General features: G+C 41.1%; 2 pseudogenes; both read right to left on the bottom strand.

Moving 5' to 3' along the window:
- Positions 6,854-22,688, bottom strand: LOC728470 (cancer/testis antigen 55 pseudogene; annotated as a pseudogene).
- LOC124905295 (uncharacterized) lies at positions 10,545-10,661 on the bottom strand (annotated as a pseudogene).

Here is a 25,053-nt window from a genome sequence, read left to right on the forward strand (position 1 = left end):
GTGAGAACAGGTAAGAGCATTGCTGAAGATTATCATCTGGTTAACAGGATCGGTTGAGGGCTATCTATGTCTCAAAATGTAACACAACTGTGTTAATTTCCTAGGGAGGCCACAACACATTACTACGACTGCGTGGCTTTAAACAACAGAAATTTATTCTTCTGCAGTTCTGCAGGCTATGAGTCTGAAATCAAGGTTTCCGTGAGGTTGGTTCTTTCTGGCAAGCTCTGAGGGAGAGTTTATTCCAAGATTCCGTAGGTTGCCAGTAGTCATCGGTTGGCTTCCTTCGGTTGTAGATGCATCACTCCAATCTCTTCCTCCTTCATATCATGGTGCTCTTCTCCATCTGTCTGTGTGTCCAATACACCTCTTCTTATAAGGACACCACTCACTGGATTAAGGGTATATGACTAATCCCAATCCTGTAGGACCTCATCTTAACTTGATTTTTTTTTTTTTTTTTTTGCAAAGACCCTATTCAAAATAAAGTCACATTCACAGGTACTGGAGCTCAGAACCTGAGCATATCTCTTTCAGGGCAAAATTCAACCCACAGCAACTGCTCTTGTAAATTTTGATTACTCCAATATTCTATGATTATCAATGAAAAATTAGGACACACAGGTAAGCACACATTTCCTCTTATTTCTCTGAGAAAACACAGGCCATGAAACAGGAGCCCCTCTGTGAAACTCCTGGCACCCATCCTGGCTTTCTCTTCCTTCTCTTTTGTAACAATGGAAGGACATCGCAGCCCCTGGCCAGGGCTGAAACTCCACTGAGCACATGGAACCATTCTCTTGACACATTTTCTCTGAGGATGTTGCTTCTATTGCTGTTGCCTCTCTTCATCCTGCATCAACAATCTTTTTTTTTTTTAATCTTTGCCTGCAAAGGAATAACATACAAACATACACAAGAATCACCCATCTTAAAAACTTCACAAATAACTCCCATCTTAAAAATGTACATAGATAAATAAGCTTCCTTGGCCTCATTTCCCCTTCAGTCCCATTCTTCTGCATCCTGTCCCCCACAGCAAATGCTATTTCAAGAATCACCTCTGCTCACTTCCTGAGCTCCCATTCTCTCCTTATTCCTCTGGCATTAGGCTTTTACCCACATCATGCCCCTAATTTGCTCTTAAGATGACAGGAAACCTCCAGGTCTCCAAATCCAGTGGTCAATATGCTAAGCTCTCATCACTCAACCTCTCAGTGTTTGACGCAGGTGAGGACTCCCCATTTCTTGAAATAAGTTCTTTGGTCTTCTGTGTGACCACTCTCTCCTAGAAAGACTCCTTCTCAGCCTCTTTTGTGAGAAGTTCCTCCTATCAGGATTGCACAAGAGTGCTCCAGGACTCAGACCCTGAATGGCCTCTCTATCCACACACCAGCCCCATGGCATCTAAGTGCACGTACTCCCAATTCCATATGTATACTGAGTTACACACGTGATTATCCCATAGACGACTCAAGGGTAAGGTGTCCAAAATTTCATATGTCCTGAGCTTCCTTCAACCCCTTCACCTCCATAAATCTTCTCCATCTCACACGATGTCAGCTCAGTTCACACAGTGGGTTAACATCATATCCCTGCCATAACCCTTAGTTTTCTCCATTTTCTTTACACACTCCATGCCATCCATCAGCAAAAACTATCAATCCTTTGAAAACATACCTGTAGTCTCACCACCTCTAAAGAATGATTGAAAAAAAACATCACTGGGTCAAATGTTTTAGTTTCCATCATGGCACAGAAGAAAGCAGAAAGAACCGAAGAGACAGCAGCCACTCAGACATATGAAAACATGCCCAAAACCCTTTCATGTGTCCCTGCTGGCACAAATAGAGCTAATAACGGATGCTGCAGCAAGAGATTGGTGCTAAGAAATCGCCTTAGAAAGAGGTAAGAAATAGCCTTCTCTGGCAAACTTCACTAAGTCAGACTCAGCCTCCTCTGCAGGGTTCAAACTCTGTTGGCAGAGAAGCTACAGGTAGATTCCAGCACCAGGAAGACAGGTCCCTGCTGAGAGAATACTGCAGAACAAAGAAGGGGCTCTTCTATACCAACCTGCTGGAAACACTGTGAATGATCTTTGTGGTAGGAGGTGCCTCCAGAGGCCCGGAACACATCAGATAAGAAATGGCTGCTGGACCTGAATGCCAGGGGATGAATTCCACTGGGCCACAGAGCAGCTGTGCGCCCCCTCTTTCCTGTTTGTGTCCCTGACTTGGCTGTTGAATGGACACGACGCTACTGGGACTTCTTTCATAGGATTCTTTGTGAGCATTAAATGACGTGTGTGTCCCAAGGCCCTTAGCCCAGTGCTTGGCATATACAAGGGCTGGACACAAAGTAGATTAACAGCAATTCTGAACAAGGATGCCATGCACCCCATTAAACCTTCTCACATTTTAACTGTCTCCCATGAACAAAATGCACACCTTCACAAGTATCCATGAAGCAATCATTCAGTGCCAGATTCCAGCAAAGATATAACCATGTGATTCGCCTTCTTGGCTTCTAGTGACCTGCATGTTTCACTCTCAAATCAGGGAAACTGACTCCGACTGAAAATATTGAAAACCATCTGTCCGTGGTCACTGCCCTCAAAAACCTCTTATCACAAACACCTGCTTACTTTTCTTTCTGTCACTAACTGCTAGACGGAAATTCTTACTTATTCATATGCTTATCAGAGTATTTATTGTCGGTCTCTTCCCACTTGTATGTCAGCTTCATGACTGCAGAGCTTTTGTTCGTGGTTGCTTTTTCCATCTGCTGGGCCTTCAGCATCTAGAACAGTGCTGGGCACACGGTAGGTTCTCAATAAATACCACAGCAATTAATTGAATCAGAAAAGGGTAACATCCTGAACCATTCCAGCAACCTGAGAAAGGATCTGGTTCTAAGGCAATTCACACCAAATCTGAATACTTTGCTTTCCTTTGTGCATCTATCTAAACAGTACTGGGCCTCATTCAGAATAATGTTACAGCTGGCTGTAAACGTCAGAACTGTGGTTCGGAAGACGTTAGATCCCAGCTCAACTCAGCTGTTTCCTGGCTTTGCAACCTGTCCTCAGGGTCTGACACAGCAGCAACTTGTAAGTAAAATCAGCCAATAAATTGAGTTTTCTTGCAGATCAGTGATCCAGCCTCCCTCGTGCACATGAGTTGCACCATGGAGTAAAATGTTACTCCTTTCATTACAAAAGCTACACTGGAAATAAGTGTTGGACTAGTGTTTAGACAAATATTTCTATAAGAATAGAGTGACAAGGCTTTAAATGACATGTATCAATAAGTATATTATTCATTATGATTTAATGGATAGGGACAATTCCCATCGATGGGAATTTTGGTTTCCTCATGTGATGGGAGTTTTTCCAATTCATATCTTTGTTTTTCAAAACACAATAAGTGTTTGGATTGCTTTTATTTGTTACAGAATGTCAATGTCAGCTCTCCGTTGTCTTAGCTTTGTCGGCTATAACAATATACCACAGACATTTATATTGCACAGTTCTGGACGCTGGCAGGTCCAAGAATAAGGTGCTGACTGATTCGGTTCGGGGCAAGGGCCCTCTTTCTGGCTCAAAGATTGTCAAATTCTGGCTGTTTCCTCCCATGGAGGAGTGGGAGCAAACAGTGGCTTCTCTTCCTCTTCTTCTAAGGATACTAATTCCATTATGGAGCTCTACTCTCATGATCCCATCTAAGCCTAATAGCATCCCAAAGGCCCCATCTCCATATAGATCACATTGGGGATTACAGCTTCAACAAAGGAATTTTAGGGGAACACAGATGTTCAGTGCCCCTAACCACTGTGAGGTATGTTCATTATACTATCAAAATAACTTGTACCTTTTGTTTCCTTTCTTTTTCTTTCTTTGTCTTTTTTCTTTTTTCTTTTTTTAGGTGGAGTCTCCCTCTGTCGCCCAGGCTTGACTGCATTGGCATGATCTTGGCTCACTGCAACCTCAGCCTCCTGGGTTCAAAGGAGTCTCCTGCCTCAGCCACCCCGAGTAGCTGGGACTACAGGCACCCGACACCACGACCACCTAATTTTTTTTTGTATTTTTAGTAGAGATGAGGTTTCATCATGTTGGCCAGGCTGGTCTCAAACTCCTGATCTCAGGTGATCTGCCCGCCTCGGCATCCCAAAATGCTGAAATTACAGGCATGAGCCACCATGCCCAACCACATTTTGTTTCCTTTCAATGGAACTTCAATAATAAGGTTATGCTTCTCATCTTTGGTATATACAATAGGCCTTCAACTATCCATAGGATTGGGGGAATGAAGTTTCTAATCCACATCATTTAGGGTCAACTGGGGCAATGCTCTTAGGAAGTGAAACCACTGTAGGATGACGTTGCCCCAGCAGGGTGAACTCTCTTCCTCCACCTTATGAGACCAACAAGAATGCTAACTAATCTGAGTCCTAAGTTGTGGATGTTTAGACTGATAGCCCTTAACCAACCCCAACACTTCACTCTTCTGGCCAGGCCAGCAGCTCTGGAAAGAATCTCATGAAGCCCTTAACCCAGGCTGTCCTAGGTGACTATTACAATGAAGTGGTGACTAAAAACCAGTTCTGTGAGGAGTTCCAAAGGCAACAGAGAGCCTTTTTATCTAGCCCTCCCATCCCTGTAGAGCAGGGCACCCAAGTTTAGGAAGGCAGGCATGGAGCCTGCCAAAAAACAGTTCCAAGGAGGCCTCCTGCAAGCCAGGGTGCATGAGAAGAGGGAGTTAGAGAACAGATGGAAGGCTGTCCACAGTAGGAGAGCATATATAGCAGGATTGTGCAAAGAAGTAAATACACAGAGGATAATGGAAGGTAGGGTTCTCCAAAGCTGAGAAGGAAACAATACACGTGGAAAGGTGGAAAGGGAAGAAAACATAGAATAAACTCTGTATTCCTGGGCTGGTAATGGAGGTGTACTTGCAACCTCAAGTTTGCCAATAGATATAAGAACTTCAATTCAAAACATCGTATTCTCCAACACCAAGGGAACAGGGATCCTTGTAAATGGTGCTGATTAAGTAGAATTTGAAATTTTGACAAAACAGAGAACTACACCCTAAGCATAACAAAGAGGAGTTGTTTACATTCACAGAGTATATCCCTTTGGCAGATGTACAGTTAAAGATTTATGCGTCTCACAAGAGGAGTGAAATGATGAACTAGAACCTCTGAAAGCTACAAGTGGTTAGAGGATGAAACCACAATCACGATGAGAGGCTTCAATGTACCCCTCTGATTAACAGTATGCATAATCATGACAACGAGAACACTAGGTTCAATCTATTGGGCCATGATTAAGCTCCGGGTACCTAAGTATAACTTTATGTTTTGAGAACCATTGCTGGCCTCAGGCCAGAAATGGCAGAAGGGCCATAGTTTGCCAAACCCGGCTAAAGATCATTATCTTATTTCATGTTCTTCATTGCATGTATCACTAAATGAGTTGAGAGGCATCTGATATCAGCACATCTGCAACGCCTTCATGGCGTGGGGCCAGTTGGAAGCTCCGTGGCAGAACACTGGCGCCCCAGAAACTCGTGGTGACAGGTCCCTGTATTTTCAAGCCAATTCTTTCCCACGTGGGAAAAGCACATTTCTGACAGAGTCCACTATTTCCTGCTCCCTGGGCCCTTCTGTCCTTGTGCCGTGAGGGCGTACATTTAGGGACACAGATGTGATGAGGGTGAGATGATCAAACACAATTCATTCTCAACTGTGGGAAAGAACCTTGGAGTTAACACATCCTTGAGGCAAAATATTCAAAAAATACCGCCACTTGGTCTGCCTTATGAAAGCAAAGTGGTTCTGGGCTTTACTATTTGAAAGAAGGTAGAGGAAATGTATCCAATCCCTGCCCCCCTGCCCAGCTGAACTGCCGCCTCCCAGGTGATCCTCAGTCCAGTGAGGAAGTTTGTGAAACAGCAGCTGTGACTGAATCACCAGCTGATTGGGCTTATCATAATGCATTATAGCTCCCAAATAACATTCTTCTACATCAACCAAACTGGAGAATTAAATGGGGAGGTAGTGAAAGTCATGACCCTTGCATCTCTCAAGTCCAACGTGGACTGCTCTGTAATTCCACAGGGTGTGGGGCTGCTTTTGAATGACGACATTCACAGGGACCTGGTATTGCCACAGCTCCCACTTGCCCCTTTCAATCATAGGAGCTACTGCTGCATGGGTCAGGAAGCCGAGGATGGTTGGGGGGTGGGGGCATTGAAAGAACACAAGTTCCATTAGGGCCTGGAATTTTGTCCTTTTGGTTAAGGGTATAACTCTAGAGGTTCAACAGTGCCTGGCACATCAAAGAGAGTCAGTAGGATTTTGTAGAGTGAACCAATGAGTGAAAATGGGAACTCTATAATACCTTCACTGTTCCTATCAAGCGGGAAACAAATCCCTGGATGATTGGGAGGTCTCACTGGATCTGTAGTGGAAAGTCAAAACACAACCCTGTTTATTCAAGGACTGGGGGTAATGGTGGAATTATGAATCAGAGGAGTCAGGGTAAGTTCCCAACCACATTCAAGCTACACTCATAGGTCTGAATACATCCCTTCCCCTAGGTCACAGCTACATGGTTAAATGTTCTGTTAGACAAAAACATGAAATTTCATGGGATGTACTTGTTGGATTTTATTATAACCCTTCCCAGCGGGTAAGCAGCTTGTCCTTCCTTCAAAAGCTCTGTGTTTGTATGTTTCTTCATGACTGCACATGAGCTGCACCCCCGCAACAAAGTGGCTCATGGAGGCCCATTTACAGCAGAGTCTGCTTTCTATGGTTGTTGGTGTTGTTAAAAAAATCAACAGAGGTCTTAGTGCATTGCTCAACAATTTTATTCCTAAGGAACCAGTGATGAATGAACCACAGCTAAATATCATTGCTGGCCCAATCATTCAGTCATTGAACTTAATAACATTTTATCTGCTCAGTGAGTCTGTCACGCCTTCCTCTAAGTGCTGGTGATGCTTTAATGAAAGAAAAAAAAAAGAAAGAAAAACAAAACCGACCAAAAGACATCCTGCCATTGTGGAGTTTACATTCTAGCATGGAGAAGAAGGAACATAAGGAATAATAAACATTGCAAATTATGTGAATGACAGAAGATGAAAGAGGCTATGGAACAATACAGGTTGTACAGACAGCATAAGGGGGACTCAAAGCTGAAGTGTAACTTTAAATCATGCCTTTAACATGCTGTCCCTGATGCCTTTTCTGTTAAATACTTTGGCTCTGATGTTCCCTTTAGGGCCGTCCTAGGCCTCTGTCATCCTGGAATCTGCTGCTGCTAATAGGAAATATGGAATTCAAATTTAATGGCAGTGTTCATTTTAATTAAGAACTCCTTTCCTCCAGTGACTACTAGCAAGCTAATTTAGCATGCTTTTAATTGATAAGGCACTTCCCTAAGCTGGGTTCATGGTCCAATTGAACTAGCCAGTATCTCAATTAGATTTGCCAGAAAAGTCATATGTAAAATAGTATTTAGGCTTACTAAGCTAACCTTTTCAGTTAAACCAGCCCCTTTACTGCTCTTAAAAGGAAATATAAACAGAATAAAAATGTTTTGTCATGATTTTTGTACTGGGGTGATAGAAACCGCTCTCCACTTAAAGCAGAACTGAATGCTCTCCACCATGACCACATTGACGATATCATCTACTTGAGGTACGTATCCATCAGGAAGTTTCACAGAATCCAAGGTGAAAAAGATAGTATTCTTTATCACCCCACTTCTTCCACGTATGTGAGTAATGCGGACCTGTGAGTATAAATAATGGAAATGATTATGAGAAAGCCCGATAATCACTGTAACCAGCTTTGCACCTCCTCACTCTGGGTCCTGCATGAGTGCAGGTCACTTCAATGCAAATCATTGATTTCCAACCTGGTTGGCCCATTGCTAACACCAGGGGTGCTTTGTAAGAATACCCATGTCCACACTCCACCACAGACCAATTAAAACAGGCTCTCCAGGGATGAGGCATGGGTCTTTGATGAGAAATCCAGCTCTAAATATTACCAAAATATGTCCATTACCCTCTATTGCCCTGAATTTGCTGGTCATGTTCAGGCTCCAATACCCAAATCATTCTCAACATTTACTGTTAAGCTCAAGTCCCACAACGCACTCCGTTCATTCTTTCCCTACAATTTTCTGACACAAAGATTGTTTTTCTTCCTCCTGTTGTTGGAAGATTCTAATAAAATTTGGGTATTGAGTAAAATGCACAATTTAGAACTTAATCGATTAATATGCTTGTTCTACATAATTTTCTAATTATTTCCTTTGGGAAGTCCTGCCTTTTCAGTAAGAAAAGTGGCTCCTTTGTTGGCAAAGAATGTATTTCTTCATATTTTCTGGAATTCCCATTACACCCAACAGAATCCTGGGCACGAAAATTATCACGAAAGGAAGGGTTCACAGAAACCGATGATGGGAGCAACAGGAAAGAAATTACCGCTTCCGCATGAATACAACGAGTGGGCTTCACAGAGCTTGCCTTGAAGTTTAAGAAGCCTGGTTCAGTGGAATATTCAACTTTTAACCAGTTGCCCTTATAAGGCACAAAATCTAAAACAGCCATGGAGAAATGTGAGTGTCATGATCTCTTAACTAGGTCATCTTGAATTGCACACGTTATTTGATAGTGTACTACTTTAAAGTCAGTTCTGCAACACCTAAAGTCATTTTTGCACATATTTAAACAGACACACTGTAAATCGGTAAGTTCAAGAAGAAGTTTATAATCCTTAGGCATTGACTCTCCTCTACTGATTTAACAAAGTCAAATGGAGCAAAGTGTGAACTGTGCATCACAGCCAATCTGAGGGAACAGCACAGGATTTACTAAACAACTGTTCGTGTTCACAACTCCTTAGTGAGAGGCAGTCAAACATGTAGGTAAGAGCACAAGTTTGAACCTGGCCATGTGCATTTGAATCTTGACACTGCCACTCACTCAGTTTGTAACCTTAGCCAAGATGTTTAATCTCTCTGTGCCTCGTTTTCTTCATTTATAAAATGAGAAGCACGATAAGTAGCCTTCAAGATACTGAGCTGCTGTGACACTTAATAGATATCGTTGATACACACAGAATCATCACTGGTGCATAGTAACCACCAAATAACTGTTGATTGGTAGTAGTGGTAGCAGTACCACTAGGAAATGTTGTTACTTTCAGAATGAATCAATTTCCCCTAGTGTTGTGTTCCGCTGATGAACTCTTTTTATTATTATTATTATTATTATTATTATTATTATTATACTTTAAGTTCTAGGGTACATGTGCACAACGTGCAGGTTTGTTACATATGTGTACATGTGCCATGTTGATGTGCTGCACCCATTAACTCGTCATTTACATTGGGTATATCTCCTAATGCTTTCCCTCCCCACTCCCCCCACCCCACAACAGGCCCGGGTGTGTGATGTTCCCCTTACTGTGTCCAAGTGTTCTCATTGTTCAATTCCCACCTATGAGTGAGAACATGCGGTGTCTTAAGTCTGTGCCTTAAGGGTTACCGTTAAGACCATCGAGGTTGAAACAGAAGTTTACGATAAGTTAAAAGTGACTCACAGGATAACAAATGTACGTGAAAGAATCTGGAGCAAATGGAAATCCCAACTGCAACTGAGACCGTAAATTGCCACAGTGACTCCAGAAAACTAGCAATATCAACAAAGTGAAATATTTATTCACCTTAGGACCCAGCATTGTAGACTGATACAAGACACAGTGTTAGACTTCTGTCTCTCTGTCTGTCTCTGTTAATTTGCATACATTTCTTTTGTGTGCGTTTACTGTATATCTATGGGCCAATAACTCCAAAATGTATATGCCTCCAGCTCTAACCAACCTCAGGGTCAATTATCCATATGCTTACACCAATCTAATGTGTGCAAAGCTGAGTTGTTGGTATTCTTCATATTCACCAACTTTTGTTTGCCTCAGTCGTCTGCATCACAAACTGGCAACTCCACTCTCACCACTGCTCAAACCAAAAACTTTGGAGGTACCTTGGACTCATCTTTCCTCCACATCAAAGATCTAATCCATTACCTCCTGGGTTCTTCTCTAACTTCAAAATATATCCAGAGTCAACTCAATCCTCAGGTCCTCCACTTCTCCACTTTCATTCACATCTCCATCATCTCTCACCAGGAATATTACAACGGTTTCCTGACCAATTTCCTGACTCCACCCTTCCCTCATAGTCTCTTCTCGACAAAGCAGATAGAGTCAACATCTGAAAACAAAATTCAGGTCAGGGTCCTGTTTTTGCATCCAAGGAAACAAACTAGCAAGCTGCCTGGGGAAGTGGAGCTAATCTCCCCTTTCATACCCAAGCTATATGACTGTTGCAATGGACAAAAATAGCAAAAAAAAAAAGTGTATCTTTGGTTATAAGCGAAATATTAGAACATATCGGCTGATTACAAACAGAATTCCACAACACACACACACACACACACACACACACACACAGCCACAAAGCACTATCTCCAATCCTAACTTTGAAGATTTGAAGTGCATTCTTTTAAAATTTGGTACTGTGCCCTGTCACAGAAACTTCTCTAGTAACCAACTACAGAAATGATCCCTGCAAGTATAGTCTTTGAAGGGTATTAAAAATAGTGTCTCTGTGTACTTGTAGGATTGTTTCCATGATTAGAAACTAAATTCTTATGTGAATGAAAAATATATCCAGGCATTACTGAGGGCATTGAACAAATGAACGCACAATAGACGACAGCAGACATTTTAAAATACTTCCTATTTGCCCCTATATTGTACATAATTTCAATTGGAAAGGTCTACCTGTAATATTGAAGAGCCATTGGCTGAAGCCAAGTACACTGTAAAATTTGTTCTAGGACTAAAATCCACTCAAAAAATTAAGAATTACATCATATATCACAAAATGTAAGTCATACCTTCAGAAACAATGTCCATAGGGAAATAAATGATGTTACTAATATAAACAGTATCTTCACTTATAGAAGTAACACATCCATTTAAAACTCTGATTTTTGAGTCTGAGGGTCCATCATCGTTAAGAGGGTGAGGCACAACATCCACCTGTAAGATTTAGGAAAGAGTTACTTCAAAAATAATACAAATTTAAACACAGGAACTTACATGGTTAAAACACTGGTATTCCAAAATATTTTCAAAAACCATCCTTAACACTGGTGAATATAGTTCACGTGCTAAATGGACCATAGACTTGAGATGATGGTAGAAATCATGTGTGTGCTTCATGAATTGTGAAATGTATCCCAAAACATTAATTGCATACCCAAGTTTAATGCCCTTGTACCATTAGATTCCCAGATTTAAAAAATACCGTCATTCACCTAAAGGAATTCACAGTGAAATGACGGTAAAATGGAAAGATATGTAGTCTTAGCAGGTTGTGATGAATGATATAAGACTAGTTTAAAGATAGTTTCTGTGACTTACCTAAACGGAGAACATTTCAGACAGGGAGAAAATAGCGGCATTGCTTGGGGGAAGTCAGATTTGTGCTGGGTTGTGAAAGAAGGCAGAGGTGTAAACTTGTAAACACGAGTAGAGGAGCAGGAAGGCAGAGAGGAAAAACAACACAATTTAGAAGCCTAGGGAGCAAAACCCTAACATTCCAGATCCAGGTCTAGGAGACAGAAGTTCAAGTTAAAGTTGGAACAATAACCTCAACTGGGGGAGGTTCAATAAACCAAGTCAAATTAGGGCTTTACTTTATCTACAATAGAGAGGCATACAAACCTTTTTCCTTATTGGAAGTGTAATAGTCCTTATTTTATAATCCTTAAAACTTACAGAAATAATGCAAGTTCATTGTACTAAAAGTAGGGGAAAAAAAAAACAGATATGCAGACAGCAAAAGGCGGTTACACCATAATCCATATTCCATTACCAAGAGACCACCAGGGACTACATTTTCTCAGTAACACTCATCCTGATGTTTTTGTCTGTGCACAAATATATATACATATGTAAATACTCATTTTAAAAGCAAATTAGCATGGTATTCAGTAGTAAAGTATCACATTAAATGAACACAAAGTTTTTCAAATAACAAGAGAGGACAGAAACACTCATAGAGAATCCCAATTAATGGATGTGCCGTAATTTACTAACCCAATTCCACGTAATTAGACATTTCGCTTTTGTCTTAAAATTTGTACTACTTGCTTGACTTAACTATAGGATAAACTCCTAGGGTTGGAATTTGCAGATCAAAGACTTCTGATGGAAACTTGAGCCACTGAGTTGTAAATAATTTTTCATGGTTTTAAAAATAGCCTAGTTTGCTGCTATTCTCATTTCTTAACTGGTGTCTTTCCAGCTGTCAATACCAATCTGATGTTTATTTTCCCCTCACTTACTGTCATGAAGGAATGAGGCATTAGCCTCCCATCCATGTGTCTACCACCACTTCCGTCAGTATCCCAGTGGATGATCCACAGCACCCTCGGACCTCTCTGTTCCTTGACTCCACGCCAACTCACAGACATATGCAGACTAAAGCTTTGCCCATGTTTCATGGCTCCCAACTCTGTTTCTTATGCCTTGGAAATACCACCAACACAACAGCAGGTACGGACAGATTGAAATGTTTGCAATAATGCGTTGTATGACAGAAGTGGCATTTCAATACGATAGGGGCAAAGTGGATTATACAATTAACGTTTAGGGCAACTGAATAGCCAGTAGTGAAACAAGACGCGGATCCTTCTCTCAGTCTTATACATGGAAAGTAAACACAGGCTGACTGTACGTTTAGATATAAATAAATGAATGACTTTCAGAAGAAAAACTAAGTGAATACTCGTGTAAATTATGTGTTAGAATTAGCCTAAGGAAACTTCCTGAACCCAGAAGCCACATGGACAAGATGGACATATTTATAGTATGTAAAAATTAAACAGATGGAGGAGGAGGGGAGCAAGATGGAGAAATGGGACTCTCCAGTGATTGTCCTCCTGCAGAAACATCAATGTGAAAAACTATCCTTGTATGAAAATACCATCACTTGAGAGAAGGAAACCAGGTGAGAGACCGCAGTACCCAGTTATAGCATGAAAATAAGAAAAGATGCATTGAAGAGGGTAGTAAAGACAGTTTTACATTACCCACATCACTCCTTCCCCGACTTTCAACAGCACAGCATGGAGAGAGATACCATCCACCCGGAGGACAGAGAGAGTAGCAAGCATAGGACATTGCCTGGGAACCCAATATCAGGCCTTCCACACTATATGCCACCACTTGACAAACGCCCATGGCCCATGGCCCCAGACTCTGAGATGGTACTTGTGGACCGAGTCTCTAGACCCACCCTGGCAACAGACAGGAAGCCACAGCCACAGCAAAACAAACTCAATACCTGTCCCACATCTCTGCCGAGTGATTCCAGTGGCCTTATGCTCAGAATATTCTACAGCAACAGGGAGTCCTCTGTGAATGAGTGGAGCCTTGGATTCCAGTCTTGCAAGGCACCAGTCTCAACAGCTAAGGGAATGCATGCCATTGCAGCATCTGTCGCTGTGTCCCTGGGATTAGGAGGCCCCCTAGTGCTTCAATAGCTGTAGTGTTCATAAGCATAAGGACCAAAAGAGACCTATATAGAGTTTCCGGACAGGCTTACTGCTAAAGGATGTCCCCTAAAAGCTAGACTGCAAAGACTGAAATGGATACCTACTTCTTCAATACGCAGATATAAACACATTACCACAAAGATCAAGAACAATAAGGAAAACATGACATCACCAAACTGACAAAACAAGGTGCCAGTAATTGACCCTAGAGAGATAGGAATGTTTGAGTTGTTTAATAAATAATTCAAAATATCTATTTTCCACATGCTCTGTGAACCTTGAAAACAACTACAGAGAAATGATTAGAATTTATCAGAGTAAATTGAAAGAAATATTGAAAGAATTTTAAAAAACCAAACAAATACAAAAGTCAAAAAATACAATGAAGGAAGTATACAATAGAGAACATCCACAGGAAAATTGTCGAGCAAAATGAAGAATCTGTAAACTTGGAGACAGCTTCATTAAAAATATACAGTCACAGGAGACAAAATTAAAAGGAAGGATATGGAATGAAAATAAAACTTACTGAATTTCTGGGACAATTATCAGCAGAGCAATAGTATGAGTCATTCATGTTCAAGAGGGAGGAGTGAAAAAGAGGTAGAAAGATTATTTAAAAATTAATAATGGGGATCCATCCAAACCCAGAGAAAGTTATAAACGTCTAGGTACTGGACGACCAAAGTTCTGCATTCAGATACAATCCAAATAAGATTACGCATGACATATTAAAATCAAACTCTCAAAGATGAAAAATAAAGAAAAAATCCTGAGAGCAGCAAGAGGAAAGAAGCAAATCACATATAATGCAGTTCCAATATGCCTGCCAGAAGACTTCTCAGCAGAAGCATAACAGGCCAGGAGAGAGTGTGATGATACATTCAAGGAGATCAAGGAAAAAAATGACTAACCAAGAATAATGTACCAAGAAGTGAAGGGCAGAAAAAGACTTTTACAGAGAAATCACAGCTGAGAAACTTCCTCACCACCACAACTGTCTTACAAGAAATCCTATGGAGAGTTCTTCCAACTGACATAAGGGACGCTAATGGGTAATGCAAAAATATCTAAAGGTATAAAACTCACTAGTAAAAGTAACCACACACATTCACAATACTCTATTAAGGTAACAGTGGTGTCCAGATCATGTATATCTTTCATGTAACAGTTAAAAAAGGAACTAGTAAAAATAAAATACGTACAATAATTCATTAAGGGATATAAAATATAAAAAGTTGTAAAGTGTAAAATACAGAACTCAATCTGGGGGTGGAGTTAAATGGTAGAGTGTTTGTGTTTTGTGATCAAAGTTATATTATCAATAAATAAACTGTTGTGATTATGTTTTTGTACGCCTCATGCTAACCACAAAGAAAAAAATCATGTAATTGACACATTTTAAAATATCAAGGAAACAAAACATATTAATAGAGAAAAATCTCTTATTCATCAAGAAAGACAGTAAAAGAGAAAGGAAGAAATTACCTATAAAATAAGTAGAAAAAATTATCTAAATGACAACAGTAAATCCTTGCCTATCAATAATTAACTTGATAGAAATGGATGACATTCAACTAAAATACACAGAGTAGCTGAATGTATTTAAACAACAACAACAACAACAACAACAACAACAACCAAACCTATGAGAGATCCACTTCTCCTTAATGGACATTCGTAAACTGAAAGTGAAGGCATGAAAAAAGATATTCTTCCATGTAAAGGGAAACCAAAAGAGAAGGGGAGCAGCTAAACTAATTTCAAATAAAATAGGCTTTAAATCACAAACGGTAAAAAGAACAAGAAGATCATTATATAACGATGAAGGGATCAATTCATCAAGAGGATATAATGATTTCCAAAAATATGCATCCAACATAGCAGCACCTAAATATATGAAGCAAATATTAAGGTCTAAATGGTGAGACAGATTGCAATGCAATAACTGTAGGGGACTTCAACACCCAACTTGCAACAATGAGTAGATTGTCCAGACAGAACACTGACCCCACAAAAAGTGAGATTTATCTGCACTCTGGACCAAATGGACCTAACAGTCATTTACAGAACATTCCATCCAAATACTCCAAAACACATATTCTTTCCAACTGCATGTGGAACATTCTCGAGGATAGATTATGGGGCAGGCCATAAAACAGGTCTTAGCAAATTAAAGGAATTTGAAATAACATCAAATCAGTTCTCTAACCACAACGGTAAAGTATTAGAAATCAATAAAATTAGGAACTTTGGAAACTTTAGAAGTGGATGGAAATTAAACAACATGCTCTTAAATAACTAATGGGTCAATGAGGAAATTAAAAGCGAAGTGTTAACATTTCTTGAGATAAAGGAAACTGCAGGCACAACATACAAAAACCCATGAAATACAGCAAAAGCAATTCTAAAAGTGAAGTTTACATCAATAAAGCCTACCTCAAAAGAAAAGATACATCTTAAATAAACAACCCCACACCACACTTTGAGGAACTAGAAAAAAAAAGAAGAAAAAAATGCAATCCAAAAGTAGGAGGACAGAAATCATAAAGGGCAGAGCAGAAATAAATCAAATAGACATGAGAAGAACAATACAAATATTAATGAAACAATCAGTTGGTTTCTTGAAGAGGTAAACCAAATCAACAAAACCTTAGCTAGACTAAAGGAAAAAGGGGAGAAAATTCAAATAAATAAAAGCAAAGTTGAAAAAGGAGAAACCAAAACTGACATCACCAAAATAAAACGCATCATAAGAACTATTATGAACAATCATCTACCTACAACAGGACAAGCTAGAAGAAATGGATACATTCCTGGACACATGCAACCTACCAAGATGTAATGATGAAGAAATGGAAATTCTGAACAGACCATTAACAAGTAAGGAAAGTGATTCAGTAATAAAAAATCTCCCATCGATGAAGAGTCTAAGACAGAATGGCTTCCCTTCGTAATACTACCAAAATTTATATATAAAGAAGAAGAATTAATAGTTATACTTTTAATGCTATTCCAAAAAAATGATAAGAAAGGAACGCTTCCAAATGCATTCTATCACACCCGCGTTACCCTGGTAGAAAACCCAGACTAGGAAACACAAAAAAGAAAAAAGCAAAGAAAACTACATGCCAAAATTCCTGATGAACACAGTTGCAAAAATCTTTAAGAAGGTGTTAGTAAACCAAATTCCACAGCACATTAAAAACACCATTCATCATGTTCCAGAGGTATTCATTCCTGGGATACAAAAAAGTTTCAACATACACAAATCAATAAATGTGCTATATCACATGAACAGAATGAAGCACAAAAGCCATAGGATCATTCCAATTTAAGCAGGAAAAGCATTTAACCGAATTCCATATCCCTTCGTGATAAAAACTCCACAACTTAGATATAGGAGGAGTGCACCTCAACACAATATAGGTCATATATGATAAACCCACAGGTAACATCATACTGAATGGGGAAATGTTGCAGTCTTTTTTCCTCTAAGACCTAAAACAAGACAGAAATGCCCACTTTTGCCCTTTCTATCGCACATAGTTCTGGAAGTACTAGTCAGAGAAACTAGGCAAGAAGAAACAAAAGGCATCTAAATTCAAAAGGAAGAATTTAGATTGGCCCTGTTTGAAGACGGGAAGCTCTTACTTATAAATAACCCTGAAGACACCATGAAAAACCTACAAGGTCTAATAAACAAATTCAGGAAAGTGGCAAGATACACAACCAACACACAGGAATCAGTAGCATTTCTATACACCAATAGGGAACTATCTGAAAAAGATATCAAGAAACAATCCCATTTAAAACACCTTCAAAAAATAAATAGGAATAAATTTAACGAAGGAGGTGAAGGATTGCAACGCCGAAAACTATAAACCATTAATGAAGCAAATTGAAGGAGGCAGGAACGAATTGAAGTGTATCATGTGTTCGTGGACAGGAAGAATAAATATTGTTAAAATGTCCGTAACCTAAAGCAATCTATAGATTCAATGCAACTGCTATGAAAATACCAATGACATTCTTCTTGGAAATAAAAGAAACACTCCTAAAATGTGTATGGAACCGCAAAAGATTCCAGGTAGTCGAAGCAGTCTGGAATACAAAGAACAAAGCTGGAGGCATCACACTACTTGATGTCAAAGCATATGACAAAGCTATAGTAAGCATAACAGCATAGTACCAGTGGGTACATCCACGAATGGAGCAGAATACAGAGCCCGGAATGAAATTCGTGCATTTACAGTCAACTGATATTCAACAAAAGGCCCGAAAACACACAATGTTGAGAAAGTACACTCTCTTCAATAAATGATGTTGAAAATAACTAGATATTCATCTGAGTAAAATGAGTTTCCACCCTTATCTCTCAGCATGTATATAAATCAACTCAAAATGATTTAAAGCTTTAAAATGAAGACCCAAAGCTATGAAACTACTAGATAGAGATATAGGGGGAAAGCTCCATGACATTGTTTTGGGCAATGACATTTTAAAAATAGGACCTCAAAAGCAAAGGCAACAAAAGGAAAAACAGACAATAGGATTACTTTGAACTAAAAAGCTTCTGTACCGCAAAGGAAATGATCAAAGAGTGGCGAGACAATCTACAGGATAGCAGAAAACACTGACAATCTATACATCTAGTAAGGGGTCAGTTTCCAAAATGTATGAGTAACTCCAACAACTCATAGCAAGAAAACAAATAATCCTATTAAAGATGAGCAAAAGACCTGAATAGACATATTTCAAAAGGAGACATACAAATGGCCAACAGGCATATTAAAAAAATGCTCACCTTTTCTAGTCATCAGGACAATGCAAATCAAAACCACAGAGATACTGCCTGACACATGTTAAAATGGCTAACATTAAAAAGAAAAGAGATAACAAGTATTGGCAAGGATGTGGAGAAATTGGAAACTTTATGCACGGTTGGTGGGATGTAAGTTGTTACAGCCATTATGGAAAACAGTATGGAAGTTCTCCAAAATATTAACAATGGAACTATCACATGAATCCATGAATCACATGAATCCATGAACTACTGAGCATGTATCCAAAGAGAGTGTCATCAGTGTGTCAAAGAGATGTTAGCACTTCCATGTTTATTGCAGCCCTATTCACAACAGCCAAGAAACAAAAGCAATTTAAGTGTCCATCTACGGATGAGTGGATAAAGGAAATGTGGTATAAATACACAATGGAATACTATTCAGCCATAAAACAGAATAAAATCTTGCCATTTGGGACAACATGGATGAACCTGAAGAATGATATGTAAGTGAACTAAGACAGTCACATAAACACAAATAACTGCATGGTCTCATTCACATGCATAATATAAAAAAAGTTTACCTCATAGCAGTGTAGAGTAGAATGGTGGTTGCCAGATGCTTGGGTTGTTAGGGTGGATGGAGGAATGAGGAGATGTTGGTGAAAGGACATATCATTACAGTTATATAGAAGGAACCTTTTTTAACTGTCCAGAATGGGCAAATATATATAAACAGAAAATGGATAAGTGATTTCCTAGGGCTGGATGTTGCAGGGGGAGGGGACAGTTGGGGGATCAGGGAGAAATGGGAAAAGACTATGAATGGTTATGGAGCTTCCTTTTTGAGTGATGAAAATGTTCTAAAGTTGTTTGTGGTGATTGTTGCCTAACACTGTGAACAAACTAGAAACCACTGGATTGTACCCTGTAGATGGGGGAATTGCATGGTGAATCACGTGACCTATATCTCAATAAGGCTGTAAAAGAATGAAAGATATAAAGCAAAGAAAAAAGATGGTATCGGAGGAAATGCCACAAGGACGTCATATACAAACTTTCCTATTACAAATCTAATGTTCCTACCATAGAGATAGCCATAAATATCCCTATTGTATAATAAGTCCAAGAAAGGAAACTTGCTGTAATCTCATTAAGATCCTTAATAATTCCAAACGAATGATGAGACTGCTTTTCCCTTCTCATATTTGCAAAGATTTCAGATTGATAATATTGTTGTCCTTGCCTATATGGGCAGATGGGCAGTCTTACTGCCTATTGCTGAGAGAATCAATTAGTACAGTAGACCTAAAGAATAATTTCATAATAGCCACTGAATGGGTAAATATCTGGACTCAGGTGATATTCTCAGGACTCTGTAAATCTGCCAAATGTTACTGAATTGTACCCTTAAGAGAGTTCTGTGGTTTGTGAACTATACCTCCATGAAGCTCTTTTTAAAATGTTTACAAGGCACATGGTTTCACATAGCAATTCCACTGCTATGAATGCACACTACAGAAAATGGTTTTTTACCTGATAAGGGAAGTTGAAGGATTGTATAGAGTTCAATAATTATTATTGTTACCCATGTTGTTTAAAGATTAGAATAATAGATGAGTAATTTTTATGTTTTAAAGCAGATATCACTACAAATATTAGAACACAAGAACCTACAGCTTCAGAGGGGTGGGGCTTCAAATTGCAGTCTACATCCACTCTACGGATCACAGTAGAGATGTTGCATTAATACAAGAATAGAAAGATGGAGAAAGAAAACCCATTGAGATAAGACACAATTCCCAGACTCATGCACATCTCACCTTGATTGCTCTCAATCCATAAAGTATTTTATCTTCTTCCACAACCACATTAACTTTTTGTCCAACTTTTAGAGGCACGTTGCCAGTCACAACATCACTACTGAAGTAGATCGACTCATCAATCACGCCATAATCACCACAGAAACTTGTGACAACTCCCTGCACAGTTGTCAACTGGGTGTCACCTACAAGATAAAGAAACAAAAGTCACATTATTAGCCTCAAATGCAAACATCTACTACAAATATGTCTTACACTCACCATCTGCATAAACTTGGGCAGAGAAGTTTTTTAACGTCTCTGACTTTGTTTTCTTCTGTCAATCCACAACAATCAAATTTTCACCTAATAGGGTTGTTGCAGTTTTCTTTTTTTTAATTTAAAAATTTTTTAATTTTCAAGTAATTTTTAATTTTTTGAGCAAAGTCTGGCTCTGTCACCCAGGCTGGAGTGCAGTGGCGCGATCTCGGCTCTCAGCAACCTCCGCCTCCCAGGTTCAGGTGGTTCTCATGTCTCAGCCTCCCGAGCAGCTGGGATGACGGGTGCATGCCGCCACACCCGGCTAATTTTTGTGTTTTTAGTAGAGACGGAGTTTCACTATGTTATCTCAGGCTGGTCTCAAACTCCTGGACTCAAGTGATCCACCCGCCTGGAACTCCCAAAGAGCTGGCATGAGCCACTGCGCCCGCCTTGTATTAACTGACACATGCACATCAACTGTCGAGAGCTGTGGAGTGTCTTGCACAAGAGAGTGTAAATGTTACTTGTTATCACCATATCTACATGTGAGAGTCTTTTAGCTTCTGCTCCTACTATATCACTCCACCATTATCACCAACATAATGACTAGTACCTTGTATAGATACTTAACCATCTCAGCAGACAAAGCACTAAAAGATATCTGGAGATTGATGGCCAGCCCAAAACGGCATCCAAAAGGTCTCCTTCTCCTTTTCATTTTATCTCTCTCTCTCTCTCTTTTTAATTCTACACAAGCCTAGCTGACCAGCAATATTTATGGATCTGACCTCAGCAGTTGGCCCGCACAACGGGTTCTCTGCTCTCCTACAGGACCGGATATGTATGAGGCATCCACTTGGCTTCAAATTAAATTTCTGCTTGGGATACAAGCCTAAATTCACTCGCAATTAGGGAGTTTCTTGCCTACTGGAAATATAAATAGGCATGTGCTGCACATCCATGTTGGGGAAAACCACAGGCGGTACAGCCCCCAAGGTGGTCTCTGTCAACACCATCCCGCTTTAGATGGACAGGAGAGTTTGGGAGTTGGTTCTCAGGGACTTGTTGGGGACGCAGGACGCCTACCCATGCACGCACAGAAGATGGAGCCGCCGTCACGTGCTGTACCCGCCAGAGCCACCAGATCCTCATACCGGGGGTGAGGAGAGCCCCTATTAGGAGGCTTCTGGGGTGGGGGCCAAGGGAACACACAGAGGAATACCTTCTGGGAGCCCCTGCTGCTGTGGGCCCTGCTCCTGTGGGCCCTGCTCCTGTGGGCCCTGCTCCTGTGGGTCCTGCTGCTGTGGGCCCTGCTGCTGTGGGCCCTGCTCCTTGTGGGTCCTGCTGCTGTGGGTCCTGCTGCTGTGGGTCCTGCTGCTGTGGGTCCTGCTCCTGTGGGTCCTGCTGCTGTGGGCCCTGCTCCTGTGGGTCCTGCTGCTGTGGGCCCTGCTGCTGTGGGCCCTGCTGCTGTGGGCGCTGCTGCTCTGTGGGGTGGGCTGTACTATGGAAGAAGGCCAAAGCACGTCTCAGAAGCCTGAGCATTGCCTCTGTTGTCACCACCGGCCTGGACACCGCTTGTGACAGATGAAGCACGAGGCCTCCTCAGTAAGGGAAGCCCTCAGGTCACGGCGTCTCCTCAGGGACTCGCCTCCTGCTTCTCCTCAGCCTCCGCGGGACGGGACCCAGCCGTTAGTGAGCCCCCCTCAGGAAAGCCAGGGACACCGCAGGCACCCAAGGAGCTGGCAGGTGTCCCTCTGGCTCCTCCCTCTGGGCATGCGCTTGTCAGGGCCTGCCTCTACCACTGTCCAGCCAATGGGCATGCAGTGAGTGAGCGGGCAGGTTCCTGTCGCCACTAAGAGGTGGTGGGCAGGAACATCGTGGCTTCTCCCATCAAGGCTGAGGGCGCCATTAGGATGGCATGGGGAAAATGGCTTGGGGGCTTGGGTTCTGCGTACTCGGGTGACACGGGGCACTTCTGTGAGGTTCCCTGGCAGGATGGGTGCCTGAAACACCAGCTGTGCAACCAAAAATCCTGCTCTTGCCCTTGTATTCATGGTGCTTAGCATAAGGACTTACTAGGCAGTGGGTGGTTAATAGTTACTGCTCAGCAGGGATCAGTTTTGTGGAGAGAGGGCATCATGTGGGTATGCAATGTTTTAGTGATGTCAAGTACGTGTCTTTTGTACTAGGACTCCCGTTTTGAGTCCAGTGATAATTTATAGTCGAATCCTTTTATAATAATTGCTACCATGTACTCATCGCTTACCTAGTTATACCTACATTATTCTGCTATACACATTACCCTTATTCATTCATTCAGCAAAAATTTATAGAGCACTAACTGTGAGCCAGACACTGTTATGTGTTCTTAAAATTTGTTAGTGAATGAAAGAGTCAAGAATCTTGGCCCTGTGAGGGTAGTATTTTCACAGGATGACAAAAGGGCGACACCAAACATCACATAATAAAATATATGATACGTTGGAAGGCAACAAATGCCGTGGAAAAATATAGCAAGACAAGAGGGATCCACAGTGCTGGGCATGGTGGGTTGGATTGCACTTTACAGTAGCATGGTCAGAGTAGCCCTCATTGGAAAGCAATAGCTGAGAAAGATGTTGGAGTTAGCCTGGCAGCTATTTTGGAGAGAGTCATTCAGATGGAGGGCTTAGTTTGTGCAAAGGCCGTACAGCAAGACTGTGCCTGATGTGTTCAAGGAAACGCCAAGTGGTTGGAGCAGAGGCAGTGAGAGCTAGAAGAGTAGGAATTATGGACAGACAGGTAATAGATGTTCAGGCTGCGTGTGGCCTTGTGGGGCACTGGAATATCTCTGGCTTTTATTGTCCATGATGTGTAAAGTCCCTGAAGGGTTTGGAGCCTTCCAGGGATCACTCCAGGTGCTTGGCTGTGAACAGGATGGAAGAAGTCAGGGCATGAAACAAGAAGAACAGTTTGGATGATTCTGATGCAATACATGGGCACTGTGGGTGAAACCCTGTCTTTCCTATCCTGCAGTGAGCACAGGCAAAATCTTTGCCAAAGATGATCATCTGGATGAAGGGATCAGTTGAAGGTTATCTATGGCTCAAAATATAACACAGCTGTGTTAATTTACTAAGGAGGCCACAACACATTACTACAACTGGGTGGCTTAAAATGACAGAAATTTATTCTCTGGCAGTTCTGCAGGCTACGTGTCTGAAATCCAGGTGTCAGTGAGGCTGGTACCTTCTGGCGAGCTCTGAGGGAGAATCTATTCCAAGATTCCGTAGGTTGCCAGCAGTCATTGGTCGGCTTTCCTTGGGTTGTAGATGCATCAGTCTTACCTCTTCCTCCTTCATCCCATGGTGCTCCTCTCTGTGTGTCTATGTGACCAATATCCCTCTTCATATAAGGACACCACTCACTGGATTAGGGGTGTATGATTAACCCTAATGCTGTAGGACCACATCTTAACTTGATTTTTTTTTTCAAAGACCTTATTTCCAAATAAGGTCACATTCACAGGTACTGGTACTCAGACCTAGAGCATATCTCTTTCGGGGCAAAATTCAACCCACAACAACTGCTCTTGTACATTTTGATTACTCCAATATTCTATGATTGTCAATAAAAAATTAAGACACACAGATAGGCAGACATTTCCTCTTATTTCCTGGGAAAAGAAAGTCTGTGAGACAGGAGCTCCTCTGTGAACCTCCTGGCACCCATCCTGGCTTCCTCTTCCTTCTCTCTTGTAACAATGGAAGGATATCTCAGCCCCTACCCAGGGCTGACCCTCCACTGAGCACATGGAACCATTCTCTTGACACATTTTCTCTGAGGATGTTGCTTCTATTGCTATTGCCTCTCTTCCTCCTGTGTCAACAATCATTTTTTATCTTTGGCTCTAATGGAGTAACATGCAAACATACCCAAGAATCACCCATCTTAAAAACTTCACAGACAAATAACTCCCATCTTAAAAATGTACATAGATAAATAAGCTTCCTTGGCCTCATTTCCCCTTCAGTCCCATTCTTCTGCATCCTGCCCCCCACAGCAAATGCTATTTCAAGAATCACCTCTGCTCACTTCCGGAGCTCCCATTCCCTCTTTATTCCTCTGGCATCAGGCTTTAACCCACATCATGTCCCTAATTTGCTCTTAAGATGACAGGAAACTTCCAGGTCACCGAATCCAGTGGTCAATATACTAGGCTCGCATCACTCAACCTCTTAGTGTTTGACCCAGTTGTAGACTCCCCATTTCTTGAAATAAGTTCTTTGGTCTTCTGTGTGACAACCCTCTCCCAGAAAGGCTCCTTCTCAGCCTCTTTTGTGAGCTCTTCCCTCTATCACGATCCCACAGGAGTGCTCCAGGGCCCAGGCCCTGAATGGCTTCTCTATCCACATGTCAGCCCCATGGCATCTAAATGCAGGTAACTCCCAATCCCATATATATACTGAGTCACACATATATTTGTCCTGTAGACATCTCAAGGGTAAGGTGTCCAAAATTTCACATGTCCGGAACTTCTCCCAACCCCTGAACCTCCCTTAATCTGCTCCATCTCAGATGA

Source organism: Homo sapiens, chromosome X (assembly GCF_000001405.40).
Source record: "Homo sapiens chromosome X, GRCh38.p14 Primary Assembly".
NCBI classification, from domain to species: domain Eukaryota; kingdom Metazoa; phylum Chordata; class Mammalia; order Primates; family Hominidae; genus Homo; species Homo sapiens.